This window comes from Homo sapiens, chromosome 4, assembly GCF_000001405.40.
Source record: "Homo sapiens chromosome 4, GRCh38.p14 Primary Assembly".
NCBI classification, from domain to species: domain Eukaryota; kingdom Metazoa; phylum Chordata; class Mammalia; order Primates; family Hominidae; genus Homo; species Homo sapiens.
In genome coordinates this window covers 48,624,144-48,643,416 of record NC_000004.12, presented here as the reverse complement: position 1 = coordinate 48,643,416, position 19,273 = coordinate 48,624,144, and the positions used below count along the sequence as shown (strand labels likewise).

Genomic DNA, 19,273 nt, shown 5'->3' with positions numbered 1-19,273 from the left:
CCGTCTTTTAAGAAGTAATCCCAAGAGTGATGGAAGGGAAAGCAGCCTAAGTTAGCAGCAGTTAACAGCCTGTTAAGATAGTAGGAGGGAGCCCCTTTCCTTCTTGTCTTTTCTCATCATCTCACCCTCTAAGCTACAGAGGACTCAGCCCATCTATTTCAATTCTGCTCAGCTTCATAGCAGTCAGAGAAAAGGGCTACACATCTCTATGTAGTTGTCAACCTCCCCCAGTCCCTGGGTCCAGGTATGTTTGCTGGATGAGGTCCTGCAGGATTCTGGTGTTTACAGGACTATTTTGTGTTGATTCGCAGGTCCATTTCCAGCTAGAGGAGAAAAGTCAGCCACAATAGCTTTTTCACTGGCAGTGAATATTTATATCAGGGGAAGAGTGGAGAACAAAAATGAAAACAACATTCTTGTTGCTTCTTACACATACTCATGGTAGCAATATAATTCAGCTTGTTCATTTGCTAGAAGGGAAGCAAAAGAGGTTAAATTTGACCAAGATTATAACCATCATGAGTAGCCAAGTCAAGTCTGGAGCCCTTGTCTTCTGGCTCCCAGGTCCATGCACATTTTTAAAATACCTCATTATCTCTAGGTTTTTAGAATAGTTTCTTAGTTGAGCTCCCAAAGATTACCAAAAAAGCACAAGAAAACAATAACCTCAAGGAAACTATAGCTGAGTGAATAATGGATTATTTGGATGATAGGTCATTTTTCTTGAGCTTTATAATAAGTGATATTTCTGTAGTAGACTTCAAGTAAAAAACATTGGACATATGCCAAAGATGTCATAGGACTTCTATGTTTAGAAACTCTTTTCAATAAGAATAGTTTAGGATAAATAAACATTTTAGGGACAGCTGTCCAAAGAACAAGCAGAAGTAATAATTTTTCTGTCCATCGAAATGGAACCAGAAGCAAAAACATTGAACTGGATAGTGAGGGAAAATGATTTCATTTGCACAAAATAGAAACATAAAGTATTTGGGAATAGAATTAATAAGAATTAGATCTCTCCTCTGAAGGAAAGTATACATTTTTTTCTCTAGGTACACAAAAGAAGACGAGTTAATGGAGGTGTGTCAGATACTAGACAAGAGGTTTTATAATATAAAGATGTCAAGTTTTTTTCAAGTAAGTTTGTGAAGGCATGCATAAGCTTGAAAGTATGAGTGACAATAGCTGAAGATGGTGAATACATAGGAATATTTGTCTCTACAAATAATAAAACCTGTTATACAGCTGTAACAATAAAAAGTCTGGTACTAACACAAACACAGATTTTTAATGAGCATAATAGAAAGCCCAGAAAAGCATATTTGAGTATGGATTTAGTTTATGATAGTGAGTAAAATCAGTGACAGAATTTCAGTAAATGAACCCAAGAGAATTGATTAAATATTGAGGAAAAAAGATAAAATCTTTATTTCGTATCAGTAGCTCAAATAAGTTACAATTGGATGACAAATTTAAATGGAACAAATAAAGCGAACTTAAAAAGAGTTAAAATATAGGTAAGTAGTTAATCAAAATGGGGAAACTTTTTTGCTCTTTTTATGCAAATGAATTAGAAGATATAACCAAAATATTAGATTTGGGAAATATTTATTTTAAGCAAACAGTATGATAAGAATTTGGACCTTTAAATGAGAGAAGGATCCATCCGCATTTGGTAATTATGGAAGAAATAAAGTTATTGATGGGAAAGTTCTTAGCAACCAGGATGCAAGTTTGTGTTCCAGTGCTGCCACTCCCACATGACAGTAGCTTTCATTTGGAGTCAGTTTCTTCATCATAAATGCGCTATAATTAGGAGTGATGTTCTGGATCTAATTCCTACGAGCCAGTCGTTAAGCCATTAGTGGCTTAAGAGCCTCTGGGGTGTGAATATTTATACCAAGGATATTGGCAAAGGCTGCAAATTGGGACCCTCTCCCCTGCCTTTTGTTTTCTTTTGTTTTTAAGAGAGCCATTTACCAGCATATTACTTGAAATAAGAATAGATTTGTTAGACTAAAAAGATAATATTTTATATATTAAATTATATTTTGTTCCCATTGGAAACAAACAGCATCTGGTATGCTTTTCACTAACATGGAGGAATTTTGAGGTATCCTTGCCTTCTAAAGCCCACTCTCTGCTCTTGATAAGCTATATCTGTGCATCAAATGATATTTTCTGATTATACCTCTCAACACACACAGCATACACATTACTTATATTTCCTTTTTTCCTCTTCACATTAGTTGCTTTCAAATGTAGAGTTTTCCTCTGGATAGGTAGTTGAAAGGTCTGGTACTGTCACCAATTCAACTGGCCTCACCAGAAGTTGAAATTTGCTATTTGCTATTATTCCCCAATACTGATTTTGCTTTTTCTGTTCACTACTTTTAATCTGTCTACCATATAAGCTGATTAGTGTTTTTGACATTTTCCTTTTAATTGACTTATAAACTGTTTCCTGTCTTTGAGTGTGATCCAAGTATGTTATTGTTTTAAGCTCCAGCTTGAGCTGTTTTTTATTTTCACTCTTCCCAGGCACTTTGGTTCTGGCTGACAGGGATAGGATAGGCTTGTTATTCTTTTCTTTGGCTTTTCTTTTGTAAATTAATCAGCTTTATTTTTTAGCATAATTTCGGGTTTACAGAAAACTTGAGTAGAAAGTAGAGAGTTCTCGCATACCCTCTCTCCACTCCCAGTTTCTTCCTTTTAGTGTGGTATGTTTGTTACCATTGATGAAACAATATTGAAACATTATTATTAACTAAAGTTTACATTCCAGTTAACTCTTTGGGTTGCACATTCTGTAGGTTTTGACAGATGTATAATGACATGTATCCACCATATACTATACTACAGAGGAGTTTCACTGCCCTAAAAATTCTGTGTTCTACCTATTCATTGCTCCCTTCTCCCAAGCCCTTGTAATCACTGATCATTTTATTGACTCTACAGTCTTTTCCAGAATGTCATATAGTTGCAGTCATACAGTATATAGCCTTTTTAGATTGGCTTCTTTCACTTAGAAATACACACTTAAGATTCCTTCATGTCTTTACATAGCTTGATAGCTCATTTCTTTTTAGCACTGAATAATATTTCATTGTCTGAATATATCACAGTTTATTTATCCATTCACCTACTGAATGACATTTTGGTTGCTTCCAAGTTTTAACAATTATGAATAAAGCTGCTATAAGCAACCATGTGCAGGTTTTTTGTGGACATACGTCTTCAGCTCCTGTGGGTAAATACCAGGGAGCATGTTTCCTGATCATGTGGTAAGAATATGTTTAGTTTTGAAAAAAATAACCAAAATATCTTTTAAAGTGTCTGTAGTATTTTGCATTCCCATCAGTAATTAATGACAGTCCTTGTTGCTCCACGTCCTCACCCGCATTTGCTGTTGTCAGTTTTGGACATTAGTCATTCTAATCAGCATGTAGTAGTGTATCATTGTTGTTTTAATTTTCAATTCCCTGAAGACATATGAGGTTGCACATCTTTTCATATGCTTATTTGCCATCTGTACATCTTCTTCTGGTAAGGTGTATTAAATCTGGTGCTCATTTTTTACTTGTGTTATTTGTTTTCTGGTGGTTGAGTTTTAAGAGTTCTTTATGTATTTTGTATACCAGTCTTATATCAAGTATGTATTTTGCAATTTTTTTCTCCCAATCTGTGGCTTGTCTTTTCATGTCCTTAATAGTGTCTTGCAGAGCTCGAGGCTTCATTTTAATAATTTTTTTCCCTGGATCATGGTTTTGATGTTTATCTAAAAAGTCACCCTCCAAACCCAAGATCACTTAGATTTTCTCCTATCTTCTAGGGGTTTAATAGTTTTCATTTCACATCTAGATCTATGATCCATTTTCAGTTAATTTTTGCAGAAGGTATAAGTTCTGTATCTAGATTTTTTTTTTTAACATGTGGATTTCTAGTTATTCTAGTACTATTTGTGGCAAGGTCTCCTTTCTTCATTGAATTGCCTTTGCTACCTTGTCAAAGATCAGTTGATAGTATTTGTGTGGGTCTATTTCTGGGCTCTCTATTCTATACCATTGATCAGTTAGTCTATTCTTTAATCAGTACCATACTGTCTTGATTACTTTTTTGAAGTCACGTCCTGTCAGTCCTCTGACATTTTTCTTCTCCTTCAATATTGTGCTGGCTGTTCTGGATTATTTGCCTTTCCATATAAACTTCAGAATATGCTTGTTGATACACACGAATTAACTTGGGGGGTAGACCTGCTTTCTAAACTAAAAATTTTGTGTTTGCTTTTTGAAGTCAGATTTTTTTTTTATTATACTTTAAGTTCTGGGATACATGTGCAGAACATGCAGGTTTGTTACATAGGTATACACATGCCATGTTGGTTTGCTGCACCCATCAACCCGTCATCTACATTAGGTATTTCTCCTAATGCTATCCCTCCCTTAGCCTCCCACCCCACAACAGGCCCCAGTGTGTGATGTTCCCCTCCCTGTGTCCCTTTGTTCTCATTATTCAGCTCCCACTTATGAGTGAGAATATGCGGTGTTTGGTTTTCTGTTCTTGTGTTAGTTTGCTGAGAATGATGTTTTCCAGCCTCATCCGTATCCCCGCAAAGGACATGAACACATCCTTTTTATGGCTGCATAGTATTCCATGGTGTATGTGTGCCACATTTTCTTTACTCAGTCTATCATTGATGGGCATTTGGGTTGGTTCCAAGTCTTTGCTATCGTGGACAGTGCCACAATAAACATATGTGTGCATGCGTCTTTATAGTAGAATGATTTATAATCCTTTGGGTATATACCCAGTAATGAGATTGCTGAGTCAAATGTTATTTCTGGTTCCAGATCCTTGAGGAATTGCCATACTGTCTTCCACAATGGTTGAACTAATTTACACTCCCACCAACAGCGTAAAAGCATTCCTGTTTCTCCACATCCTCTCCAGCATCTGTTGTTTCCTGACTTTTTAATGATTGCCATTCTAACTGGCGTGAGATGGTATCTCATTGTAAAGTCACAGATATTTTTTTACTTTTGTTCATGTTCCAAAGCCTTTACCTTCTACTTTTTCTTTTGTAGGTAATCATCAAAATTTTTATTATTAGCCAATATGGTGTATAAATAATAATTATTGTAATACTAAGCAATTGTATGTTATGTAAAAATTTCTGTTATATAAATCTATGCATAAATATATGCATATAATATTTGTGTACATATGTAAGTTTGTGGCTGTGAGGTAGTAGCCCAAAGATTTTTTTTTTAAATCCTTAAAGACCTCTGGGGGTGAGGAAGCTAGAGGCAGCTTCCACAGACTTCAGTGTGGTTATTTTAGACCACATCTACCTGTAGGGATTTTGAAATACCCCAATTGTTGAGAACTAGTGTGTATTTTGAGGGCTGTTACTATTCAGAATGTTGTGTGTAAAAACATAATAGAGTCAGAAAAAAGCTGAGATCTGCTGCTGTAATGAGCTCAAACACACCTAATTGTAAGAGTTATACGTTATTTCTCTTCTCACTTGTCTCTTCTTTTTGACTGAATTTAAATTTATTTTATAATGGTTTAGGAGTCTCATCAGCATGAAAAAGACAATTATTTTATTAAATATATTAAATACAGTGCTATGGAGAGTGTAAGCCATCCAAAAATACTGATATTTAGTTTTTATTTGAGCTTTATCTAAGAGACAGAGCAGGAATGCTAGCTTTTAGATTCCCAAATTTTAATTATTCAGGTCCTGTTTATTCTTATTATTAGCAGTTAGAGTTTAGTAGATTTATATTCCAAGTATGTTTAATACGACATGGGTTTTTCCAGTTTGTAATTCAATGCTTGAATTGCAATCTTTAGAATTATATTAACAGTTATGTCTTCCTTCTCTCATAGGCTTACATAAATCTTTCAAAATTTTGGGTTAGCATGTAGAGAAATATTACAACTTAGCATTATAAGGTATTTAATGCAAGCAGTCAGGTAATACCAAGTTAGTCTAGTTATATGGAAGCTAGCTTTTCTTCTTCTACTTGGAGTGATCATCCCTGTTTCTCTCCTATTAGCAGAAAATGAAAAGAATTCACGTATCTTTACCAAGGCTGAACATTATGATGAAATATAAAGTTGAGGGGGACAACTTTGATGGATGAAAAATGTTACCTGATTTTTATTTGTGTTTAGAATATTAATGAAATTAAATATTATTGGCCTCCTCCATTTTATTGTTTGTAACTTGCTTGTTCATGTCCTTGTCCTTGTTTCAGTTTGGGGGTGTGGGTGTTTTTCTAGTCGATTTCATCACAGCTTTGTGTGTAGAAACAAAAGTGATTAACTGTGTGTTTATTATATGCCCACATATTTTTTCCTGCTGTCTAATTTTACTTTGGTTTTATATACATACTCTTAGGATCTTTACTCACCTAATGCTGTATTTTGAACACTTTCCTGTGCCATTTGGTATTTTTTGATAATGTAATTTCAAAGATCTGTTTAGCATTCTGTTTATTAGATTATAAAAATCATTTGTCTTGAACAAAATAAAATTTGAAATTTATTTTGGAATTTCAATCAGTAGATCTGTTCATTGTTACTTTTTTATATTAATAATTTCAACTAACAGTTATTAAACACCTACTAAGAAATAAAATTTAAATAAATTATTTAATCAAAAAGGTTTTTTCATAAAAATTTGAGTTATCAAACAAAATATTTTTATCTTGACAGATAACTTGTAAATAAAGGTTTGCCTAAAACTTTTGGCTTTATAGGCAAATTTTTTAATGTATGCAATTATGATACCTAGGAATATTTGGTTATGCTTTATTTTTAAGAAAGTAGAAGACAGTAAAGGCAAATTATTTGTGAAGTCATTTTAAGTAAAGTTTTTTTCTTTGTAGAAAAAATGTTTAAAGGCTAGAATGTCATTTTAGAAGTTTTTACTTTGTTAAAATTTAGAATTGAAGTACCTAGGTTAGTTATAAGGTTCTTGTTTAGTTACATTTACTGTAAAGTTAAAGCCGGAGAAACTTTATAACTGTTATGACCTTATGAATCTTAATTAAAGGAAAAGATATAGTTTGTAACCACTACCTTAAGTTAAATTATGGTACTCTTAATGTTCCAAAATAATTTTTTAAAAATTAGAGAGCTCTTCTTTCTTCCACAATGACATTTGTTAACAGATTCCCTCTTTGATAATACACAATGTTGGATCATGAAACAGAGTAAACAAACAGGTCATTGTTTAAAATAATGTACACTGTGTTCAAAGGACTGTGAGTTTTTGTTTTGAGTTATATAATTTTCGTTCTAGAATACAGTACATAATGTATTTTAACTTGATATGACACAAAGATGTTTATTTTAGATATATTACGTTTGTGATACTCTTTAGATTACTTTTACAGATTTGTGTATTTTGACCTATGTGTGGTAGAGCAAGTTTTTTTAATTTGACAAAAATTTTTTAATAAGTTTTGAATTTATGTATTTAGAACAAATTTATTATCCTATAGTTATGTGCACATAGACACAAACACAGGAAATCAGTGTTTAAGTAATTGTGTTCTGCTTCCTCTTTCAAGGAAGGGGTTCAAGGGCAGTCTCTGGAGTTCAGGTTGAGGTAAAGAAGCACAAACTTGCAGATTCTCCCTGAATATTCTAAGCCAAAAAAGGCAACATAAGCTAAGTTAGAGGATATGGGATCGACATAGCAACATATGGGATCGATATGGACATGACTGGAAAACTTGTATGTAGGAAGCCAAGTAGGCTGCCCAGGCAGTCAGAAGAACAGAGCAGGTGAAGCTGCACAGCATGCAGTGGTGTGTCTTCTTTTGGGGCCAAGCCTGATGCAGCTTACTATTTGCCAGCACCGTGTCATCTCCATCTGAGTAAATGGCACCACTATCCTATGAGTGATTCAAGTAAAAATGCTGTGAGTCATTGTTAATTCCTTCCTGTCACCTCACTGATTAATCCACTAATATATGACAAGTCTCAAATACTTTGCTTTTTTTCCTGTGCTGTTGCCATCCTCTTAGCCCAAGTTGCAATGATCTCACCTGGATTTCTGTAATGGCTTCCCTGGGTCTACATTTTCCCTCTTTCAATCCATTCTCCAGAGGTACCAGAGAGATTTTTATAAAGAGAAAGCCAGATTCTATCCCTCTCCATATTAATGCTTTCCACTGAATTTTAATTGCATTTGGAATGAAATCTAATTTTCTTACAAAGTTCTTAAAGATCTTCTGTGACTTGCTCCCTGACTACTGATTCTGACCTTATCTCATATCCCCTTCCACCTCTGCTTCTTCCCTTGAGCTCCAGCCACACTGGTCTTTCTGTGTTTTAAGCATGCACGTTCAGTCTTGTGTTTTCTGTTCCTGGTGCTTTGTCTTGCTCCCTCATTTTAAAAATCATTTAGGCCTGAGTTTAAGTGTAGCTTCTTCAGTGAGGTCTTCACTGAGCATATTTTCCAAAGTAGTGTTGTTTTTCAGTTCCCCAATCCCGTTCCTGTTTCATTTATTCACACCTGTTTTATTTCCTTTATTGCATTTGACTATCTGATTAGAATCCATTCATTCATTCAGCAAATACTGTGCACCTAATCTATGCTAGGCATTGTTCTAGGTACTTGGGATTTACCATGAACAACAACAACAACAAAAACCAAAAGAGAATCCCTGTTCTTATATTCACATTAGTAGGATAGAGAGAGAAACAGTACATAATATACATGATATGTAATTAAATTATAAATATGTTAGTATGTTAGAAATAGACAAAATGGATTATGGTAGAGGAGATTGGGAGAACTGGTTGAGGGTTAGAGGCAGCTTACAAATTAAATAGGGTAGTTATGGTAGACCTCTTGAGTTGATTTATTAAAGTAGAGTTCTTTTGTTTCTTTTACTTTTAGCTTCAGCGCCAGTCAGCAAAGTAAATAAATACTGTGCTTCTTCCAACTTTCATTCCACTTGGGGAAAAAAAAATATCATCATGTCAAACATTACGATTGACCCAGATGTCAAACCTGGTGAATATGTCATCAAGAGCCTCTTTGCAGAATTTGCTGTTCAAGCTGAAAAGAAAATTGAAGTTGTAATGGCCGAACCCTTGGTGAGTACAGCTGACCTATAAATCTGAAATATTTTCTTGACTTTTGTATTAACCACTATAATGCAGATTTTTCAAAGGAAATAATATACTTGAAAAAAATATTAAGGGATAGTGGTGATGTAGAAAGCTGCACTGACTTTAGAATCCACTTTGATAAGTTGCTGCAGGTCGCAAAAGAACAAAAAGGAACTTCAACAGTGGGAATTGTGGAAACAAATAAAACATAGGAAATAAAGGAAAATTAGGATATAATGTGAGTTAACACTAAGGTCACAGCCAAACTTATAATAAACAAGAGAACATATTTTACATGTATATTGTGTGAGACATACTTGGAGAATGTGAGAAGCTCTATTTGATTAGAGCCCATGATGAGGAGGAGGGAAGAGAAAGACTGAAAACAAACACATGGGTCAGTTTCTAAAGAGTTGTAAATGCTATTGTGATGGATAATATGGTGGTTGAACAATAGAGAGAGAAGACATTGAGAGCGGAGACTATTTAGTTATTGTACATAGTTCAGGCTGGAATGAAAGGGGTCTTGAACTATGGTGTTAGAAGTAGAAATGGTTGCAGAAGAAAGTAAGAGAAATAACAGAAGTAAAATCAATAGAACTTGACAAGTAACTAAGTAGGGGGCATTTTGAATGAAAGTTAAGGGTTAAAGATGCTCTGGAGTGTTAGTAAAGATGATAATATATTTACTTTGGTAAAGTACACAGGAATATCTTTGGGTAGAAAAGGTGGATAAAATAATTTTTCGTTTGCGTACCTTAAGCTTGAGATACTGATGATCTCACCACATGGAATTAGTTGCTTGATTGGTAGTTGGAAATTCTTTTTGAGAACTCAAGAGATGGTAACTAGAAATACAGATTTTGGTATCATCTATATGAGGGTGTAAATTGAAGCCAAAAGAGCAAATGATGATTTCAAGGGAAAGAAAATATAGAATTATTATTGCCAATGACGTAGAGCAGCAAAGTACAATGAACATTGAGAGAAGTGGTTATTGGATTTGGAAATAAGCAGAAATAAAACAGAACAGTTTTACCTTCTTGATATAATTACAGGAAGTAACTTTGACTCTCTGCCAACTTAAATAGGTGACAGTTTAGGTTACTCTTTGGGCTGGAAGGAAGTGGGTATGTGATGTACTAAGAACACAGTGTAGGTTCGATGTGGGATGTTGGGAATGGAGAGGAAGGCGAAGGATGTTGTAACAGCTGAAACTCACTCCTTACACAACTGAATTAGGGATAGCTATTCACCACCAATTTCAGATTCAGAGGGTTTGTGACGGCGCACTGAGGAGTTAGGCACAATAATATATTGGCTTTAGAACCTGTGTGCTTACTCAGCCTGTTATAGTTCCTTAGAAGGATGAGAGAGGAAAACAACAGAAGGGAGGACAGGGCAGGAAGAAAGTTGAAGGAAGTATTGTCAATGCTCTTATTTTCTTAGTGAAGTAGCCTTGAAATTGCTGTGAAGGTGAGTTTCTTCTCAATGATTAAGTAGAGAAAACTACTCTGAGGAAAGCATCTATGAAATAATATGTTCCGGGATCTGATACATAATAATAGCCAAATGTATATTTCAAAACTGTGCAGATGTTTATATTCAGTTTAAATCATCCCATGATTGCTTTCCACATAGCAAATTGATTTTTATACTAATGTATATATATTTTTTGTGTATATTGTATAATGTATATATAGTATATATATAGACAGCATATATATTATTAATATAAAGTTCTGTTTTAGAAGTAAGGATTACAAAAGCCTATAGCATAAGTTCATGATTATAAGATTTGATTATAGATATGCTTAAACTACAAAATGTTAGTTTTCTTTTTCAATGGTCTCTGAATTACATGATAAATTACTACACTAGTCTACTTAAACAGCATACAGTAAGGGAACAACTCTAAACAAATTGAAGAATTTATTATGGAAAATGTCAAACATATATAAAACTAAAGATTATGGTATAATGAACACTTAGGACCCATCACCTGGCCTCAGCCATTTTCAAGTCACACAGCACATTTTAAAAACACTTTATTTTATAAAATGTTTTATAGTAGTATCATGTGATACAGTCCTACCAGTTCTCAATTTTTATATATATATTTATATATTTGAGATTTTGTGTGCGCATATATATATATATATATATATATATATATATATATATTTTTTTTTTTTTTTTTTTTTTTTTTTTTTTTTTTTTGGAGAGACAGGGTCTTGCTGTGTCTCCCAGGCTGGAGTTCAGTGGCGCAATTTTGGCTCACTGCAACCTTCACCTCCCAGGTTCAGGCAATCCTCCCACCCCAATCTCCTGAGTAGCTGAGACTACAGGCATGCGCCACCACACCTGGCTAATTTTTGTGTTTTTGTAGAGATGAGATCTCACCCAAGCTGGTCTCAAACTCCTGGGCTCAAGTGATTCACCTGCCTTGGTCTCCCAAAGTCCTGGGATTATAGACCCACCGCCTCTGGCCATATTATATATTCTCATTCCAAACTTCCCATATATTCCCTCTAACTTAGTCATCCCCCCCTAAGCTAAATGAATATGTATTTTACTGTAATAATTTGTACATACTTCTAGATTATGATGATATCACGTTATAGTTAATTGCTTACATGTTTATCTTCTCCGATGTGAGTTACTCGATACCAGGAACCAGGTCTCTCTCATCTCTGTATCTGTGGCACTGCTTGTGGTGGTGGGTACTCAGTAGAGGGTTTTTGTTAAATATTAGTATTTTAATGAATGTAGCCTTAAGAAGTATTGCTGTGGTGTGTGCCTTTTGTTTTTCTAATAATAATAATAATAATAATGTTTTCATTCTAGCCAGAGCTTCCGATAGTTCTTTCAGAATAGCCTGATGCTATTCATTTATCTTATTAGTTAATTCATTTATTTAATAGTTAATTTTAGAGGCATCTGCTATGTAATCTGAGATTATAAAATTATGATTAATAGTGGTAAGGATTTCATCAGAACGTAGATGTTTCTACTCTGCCATCACAAATAGAAGAGGCATCACTGCTTACTCTTCCTGACACACCAGGAAAACCCCCAAATCACCATCATATTTTACAGATTTTACCCCTTACACTCCTATATACCAAGATAATTTCTTCTTATCTAGAGCAGAGTGCCAGCTTTGTTTTTATTTATGTCCAAGTCTGGGTAAGTTGGGAATCCATAGCTTCAAGATTAGATAATGAAAATACATTTAATCTAATATTGTCACAGTTTTTACAATATAGCTTCAAATGCTTTTATTGGAATTTCATTTATTTTGAAATTTATTCTGTACCCTTTTAGGTAATAATCATCTAAGATGACTCTCTGGGTTCAGAGTCACTTTAAAGAAAATAGCATCCAGGGCTTGTCAGATACAAGGAGGCTGGCCTTGCTCATGGTCAGTCAGGTAGTAGGTTTCAAAAACACAAATGTGAATGGCTTTTGCTGAAAGAATTTAATCTACCACTAAAATGAGAGAATTGGCTTTTTCATTCTTACATTAGAAACCATAATAAAAGAAGATTAAGGAAGCCAAAAGACTCGAAGATTAGCTGAGTTGGATTTTTAGCCACAATTTCATTTTCATTTTAGAAGGAAGATTCAAGAAGGGCAATTGGTGATTGAAATGGCAACTTGCAGGCTATGCAATCCAATACCTTAGGTCCTTTTTTCCTAAAAGGAGATGGATCAATCCTCGGTAATAACCTAGGTATATCCAAGTTTATCTGTTAATCTTTTAGATTGCTGGGGACTAGAAAAGAAGATAGAAGAAAATCCATTTACCTATCTTCTTCTGATTTAGACCTTATGTTTTGATTTAGGCCCAGCATTTTAAAAACTCTAAAATTTTCACTATTTTTTTTGAGAGTATAAATATATGTATGTGTCTTAAAGGGTTTCTTCTCCCTGTATGGTCAGTTTCTTCCAAACTGCATTTTTCTGCTGGTTTTACCTTCTCCTCACATGTTTATTTTAACTTGTTATATTTTAAGAATGAAACACAGTTGATTGGAAGTCCAGTGTACACAGAGGAGCCTTTTTGACTGTGATCTTCTGTGTATTACTGTCAATGGACCATCAGTGTCAGATCTTTTTTGGGGGACTTGTCAGAGTCCCCAAAGAAGGTTCCTACAGTACTCTGAATGGGAGAGTTTAGGCTTTAGCTGCAAGCATTCTGGGGAACTAGACTCAGAAGATAACTGGGGTTTTTGATATTTGGTTTATATATTCTTGCTTAACCTCCCTATCTTCAGTATGGTACCTCTTCAACCATTGTATGCCCCAGTCAGCATCATTGTATTTTGCCCTTTCCTAAGAAAGGCAATGCCTCTGAAGGTAAAGTGAAAGGGAGGGTCTAAATCTTTCTTAAACAAGCTTTTTAAAACAATCTTTCAATCAGCCCTCTTATTTTTATCCTCACCTTTAGCCATACTTTCAGAGTACCCAAGTTCTCCAATTCCTGAGCCTTCTGGGAAGTTCTAAAGCATCAGTTGGGTTATCTTTCCTTTACTCTCTGTGGGTCAAGCTCACTCACTTCCCTCTGGTTGTGCCTCAAGTGTCATCTTCTCTATGATCATGTTATCTGAAATTTCAGTCCCCATTCCAACTTCCTGTCCTAAATCTGTCTGACATAATATACACTTCTTTACTCTCTAATTAGACTGTTAACTCTGTAAGAGAGCGAGTTGTTTTCCGTTTTGTTATGGCTGTATCTCCAGAACCTAGAACAATGTCTGGCATACTGTGAACCCAGTAAATAATTTGGACAAATGAGTGAATGACTGACTGAATGAACAGACTGCCGACTTTCCCCTTTGCTTACTCAGGAGTCACCGTTGTTTGGTGAGATAATTAGTTATGGTCTTCATCTGCTTTTCACCTCCTCTCCCATCCTTTTTGTTCTTTTGTTTTAGCCCTTATAAAAATTATTTCACTGTTCTGTTTTAGGATAGAAGGTTGGCTATACAAGTGTTCAACCTGCCATCTCCAATTACAGATTACTGAAATGTTTCAGTGTCATTGTTACGGTTTCAAAATTTTTCCAAAAATTCTCTTGCTTTCTCTGAAGCTACATATTGCTGTTGGTATCCTACATATGCACTATATGTAGAATTAAATTATAAAATATAGGATTGTGAGCCTTGGAATTATTATTAACTTTTTATAGTATTATGAAAATAACACTATAATACTGTATAATATTATAAAGTATTATAATATTTTATAATTATAATATTACTATAACTTTTATTACTATGAAAATAAGACTATAAAAAGTAGAAATAGTTTTAAAGATTATATAATAAAAACATCTAATCACTATCAACAGTTTTTAGTCTACCAGTTTTTCATGTCTATTACTTATCCATCTATGTAGCACCTGCCACCTTTAAAAACTTTTTATTCTTTCAATTTAAAAAATTTTAATCTTAAAAATAATTGACGTATAATAATTGCAGATCTCATGGGAGTACATAGGGATGTGGTAATACATATGGTGATCAGACCAGGCTAATTAGCATATCCATCATCTCAAGTGTTTGTCATTTTGTTTATGTTGGGGCATTCAATATCCTCCTTCTATTATGGCTATTTGAAACTATATAATGTATTATTGTTACTATAGTCATCCTGCAGTGGTATAGAACACTAGAAATTATTCCCCCCACTCTAGTCGTAATTTTGTATTCTTTAACAAATCTCTCTGTGCCTCTCTTTCCCCTACCCCTCCCAGCCTCTCGTATTCTTTGTTCTATTTTTTTTACTTATATGAAATCACCTTTAAACACACACACACACACACACACACACACACACGCAAATGAAGGGGAGATATATATAAAATACACATTTTTTCTGTACCCAGATATTTTTATTTTAACAATCTAAATTGGAGATTATTATGTATCAGCCAATATAAATTAATCTCATTCTTTCTAACAGTCGAATATTACATATATAGTTTTAAATCAGTCTCTATTGATAGGCAGTTTTGGCCTTACCCTAGTTTGAGGCTGCTTTAAAGAAATGCTACAGGACATATTGCTGTACACACATCTTTGCATTCATTTATGTGTTAGTGTAAAGAATAATTTTACTTTTTAGTTGTTTGTGATGAGTTACATAGACAATAAATGTTTTTTAATAGTTTGTCTTTTAAAAAATACTAATATATTGAGGCCGGGCATGGTGGCTCACGCCTGTAACCCCAGCACTTTGGGAGGCTGAGGCGCATGGATCACCTGAGGTCAGGCATTCGAGACCAGCCTGGCCAACATGGTGAAACCCCATCTCTACTAAAAATACAAAAACTAGCTGGACGTGGTAGTAGGCGCCTGTAATCCCAGCTGCTGGGGAGGTGAGGCAGAAGAATCACTTAAACCCAGGAAGCAGAGGTTGCAGTAAGCTGAGATCATGCCATTGCACTCCAGTCTGGGTGACAGTTTTTTTATATAAAAAAACTTACATATTGAAACACAGTACATCTACTTGAGCAAGCATTAGGGCATCCTCAACTACACTATAATGAACCTAAGAAGTTAATACAAAGTCCTTGATTAGTAATTTATATTTAGTGTAGTATATCTTTTCATGTTTTCTGTTTTTCTGTTTTTATTTATTTATTTTTTTGGATAACGTATCCTTTTGCATTCAAAAATCACTTCTGAGTTCTTATGGAAAAAACAACCCACCCCCATTTTCCGCTTCAGGAAAAGCTCTGTGAGGATGTCAAATCTTCAGAAATCTTTCAGGAAGTATGGATTTGTTATGAAACAAATAAATGTTAAACATAAGGCAACTGTGTGTTTCTGAAAAGTTTATCACTCTCTCTTATTCTTCTAGTTGGCTATAACTGTGTTGAATAAATATGCTACATGAGTAAAAAACTACTTGAATCAGCAGTCCTCAAAATGTTAAAGCTCTTTAGACTTAATATTTACAGTGAAAAGGGGGGATCAAATAAGTCAAATAAGTTAGAAAGAAACCTCTTACTGTATTCCCCACCCCCAGTCTTAGACACATAGTTCACATTAGGACAGTAAAATCCATTTTTAAAAAAGCTAAGATTTTTCAATATAGTCACTTTTAGAAACAGTGTTCTACAGGACTTATTATGAGACATACTGACTGTTTCACTGAAGTGTTAGAGCTAGTTAATTGAACATATATTAGTATATTATTGTACAGAATCCTCATGTTGCATGTGAATGGTGTGCAGTTTGATTTTAGAGATAAATGTCTTGTCCTACAAGATAATTGACCAAATATGCTTAACCCCAGAGACCCGAGTACTAAAGACGTTCCCCAAATCTCACCTTATTAAGAAAGTAAAGGTAATGTGGCTTCAGATGTAATCAAACATTATTCTCTTAAGTTAGATTGGGAATTTTTATATTTCAGTGGTAAATACATTTGTGATCGTGTTTTCATAAAGATTAATCACACATGAGAGAAAAAAATTGGGACTACTGGATAGAGAAGCTTCATAAATCTCTATATATTTCTTGTTTATTTCAGAGAATGACTTTTTCTGTGATATGTATTTAATGTAAATTTCAATTAAAATACATGATATAGACAGTTTAGAAAATCATCCTGAAATTCTCAACAGAAAAACCAATTATCATGTACTTATAAACATAATCACAAACATCTCTTATGAATATATATAGTAAGTTAGGGGCAGCCAGCAAGGCAAGTAGGTAGAAAGACTGACAAAAAGAATCACATCATACATGCTATTTTAAGTTAAACTAATTGTAATGGTTTGATTAATTTGATTAATTATATTAGCTTATCAAATAGCCGATATAATTTGATTAATTATATTGGTTAATTTTGTTTAACAGAACAAAAAACTAAAATGAAAATGATTTAATTTTTACATTCAGATAATGTTTTTGTTACAGAGCGAATAGTTCTTAAGATATCTTTAAACTTAAATATAAACATATGCATACGTATACACATGTATACACATATACACACACACACACATAGAGAGAGAGAGGTTTATTGACAAACAGATTTGACAATGAGGAAATTAAACCACCTCACTTCTCCATACCTCCTGGTTTTTGTTGAGGTATATTGTTATTTTAATGTTTTAAAACACTTTTATTCTGTAACCATAACTTTCGTGGCTATATTGTATTCTATAATTAAATGGATTTGCTGGATACCACCAAGTACTAGAAACCCCAGCAGCAACCCTTGAGTTTAAGGATGAGAACATGTCATCTGTGTTCTTTGTAGAAAACTCAGAAAATGAAAATGAAGTTAATAATGGTATAATGAAAAAATGACTTATAATTGTGCTTTACATATTAATGTATGATATATATATTCCTAGAGTTTTAAATTTATATGTATTAACTACCATATATACATACTTTCTTTCCTTTTATCTGTTATTCTCTAATTTAACTCATATATTGAGAACATTTTGCTCAATCTATAAATTTATGTCTACCTGTTACTTAACTGACTACACAATATTCTAATACAGTTGTCCTTTGGTATCCATGGGGGATTGTGCCAAGACCTCCCTTGGATATCAAAATTCATGAATGGTCAAGTCCCTTATATAACATGGCGTGGTATTTGCATATAACCTATGCACATCCTCCTGTATACTTTAAATCATCTCTGGATTGCTTGTAAGATATAATGCAATGTAAATGCTATAGAAATAGTTGCTATACTATATTGTTTAGGGAATAATGACACAAGTCTGTACATGTTCAGTACAGATGCAGTTTTATTTTATTTTTTACTGCTTTTGATCCAAGGTTGGTTGAATCCATGAATGCATAACTCAAGGATATGGAAGGCCAACTGCATAAGAATATACCATGACTTACTGACCCAAAGTTTTATTGTTGTACATTGACGTTGCTTCACATTTTTTCCATTGATAGTGAATGTCCTTCTATACACCTCTTTGCAAATGTGTATACATTTTTTCCCTGGGACATATTATTTTCTTGGGTCAAAGAGGAGATTAAATTAGAAATTATGTTTGTATTGTTCAGGGTTCTCCAGAGAAATGGAACCAATAGGGTGTGTGTTTGTATGTATGTAGAAAGAGAGATTGATTTATTATAGATAACAAGGAATTGGCTCATATGATTTCAGAGGCTCAGAAGTCCCAAAATCTGCAGTCAGAAAGCAGGGGACCCAAGAGAAACAATGGTGGAGTTCCAGTCTGAATTTGAAGGCTTGAGAACCAGGAGAGCCCATGGTATAAGTTCTAGTCTGAAAGCCAGCACATTCGAAACCCAAGAAGAACCGATGTTTCACTTTGAATCTGTAGGCAGAGAAAGACCGATGTCCTAGCTCAAGTCGGTCAGGCAGGAGGAGTTCCCTCTTACTTATGGGAAGGTCACCTCTTTTGTTCTGTTCAGGCCTTCAGCTGACTGGATGAAACCTACCCACATAGGGGAAGGCAATCTGCTTTACTCAGGCTCCTGATTCACATGTTAATCTCATCCACAGATACTCTCACAGACACATCCAGAATAATGTTTAATCAAATATCTGGGAACCCCATGGCCCAGTCCAGTTGACATGTAAAGTTAACATTACAATATCCAGTGTCCATCTTAACTTTTGTTTGTCCAAGATTTTCTTTACTCCCACTTTCTGTCAACCCATTGCAAGATAGCATCATAGTCCATTTCTTCAGTCTCCTGTTTTCTACTGGGGGAAGCCTCTTTATGTACCAATGGTGATCTTTCTATACTAATTTTAGACAGTGATCTAGACTGACCCCTTTTGGGCATTTCTTCATACAAGCAAGAATGAGTACATATGCAGATGAGAGATGGTAGAGAGACTTTAGTATCTATTATGCCCCCTGGACTCAGTGGTTGAAGGATAGAGGGTCTTAGCTTTCCACAGTGAGTCCCACCACGTCTTCTGTGTTTTGTAGATATTACTTGCCCATAGAAGGAACTCAATATTTGTTTGTTCAGTAAAAAAATCAGCAGATGGAAAGTTAAAAAAAATATTCTGGTATGTGATAGGAGAGATTGTTCTGTGCTGAAGCAAGATATACCACTAAATCAGAACCCTCTCCTGATATCAGTTAAATTAATAAGAA

The 19,273-nt window shown here is 34.3% G+C and overlaps 1 protein-coding gene across 17 annotated transcripts in view, besides 1 other annotated feature; it reads left to right on the top strand.

The window, feature by feature from the left end:
• The window catches only part of FRYL (FRY like transcription coactivator), a 282,923-nt gene that overhangs the window by 136,863 nt on the left and 126,787 nt on the right, over positions 1 to 19,273 (top strand). For all 17 annotated transcript variants that reach the window (XR_007096393.1, XM_024453991.2, XM_024453993.2 and 14 more), the window contains one exon: positions 8,927 to 9,126. Coding sequence is in view for 16 of the 17 variants with exons in the window: in XM_047450098.1 (XP_047306054.1) it covers positions 8,927 to 9,126 (200 nt within the window). In the remaining variant the exon portion in view is untranslated. The remainder of the gene's footprint in view (positions 1 to 8,926; positions 9,127 to 19,273) is intronic.
• Positions 7,791 to 8,085: an enhancer, noted in NCBI's record as "tiled region #3875; HepG2 Activating DNase matched - State 23:Low". NCBI's record gives its function as "activates a minimal TATA promoter and a strong SV40 promoter by Sharpr-MPRA in HepG2 cells {active_cell/tissue: HepG2}" and the evidence as "EXISTENCE:reporter gene assay evidence [ECO:0000049][PMID:27701403]".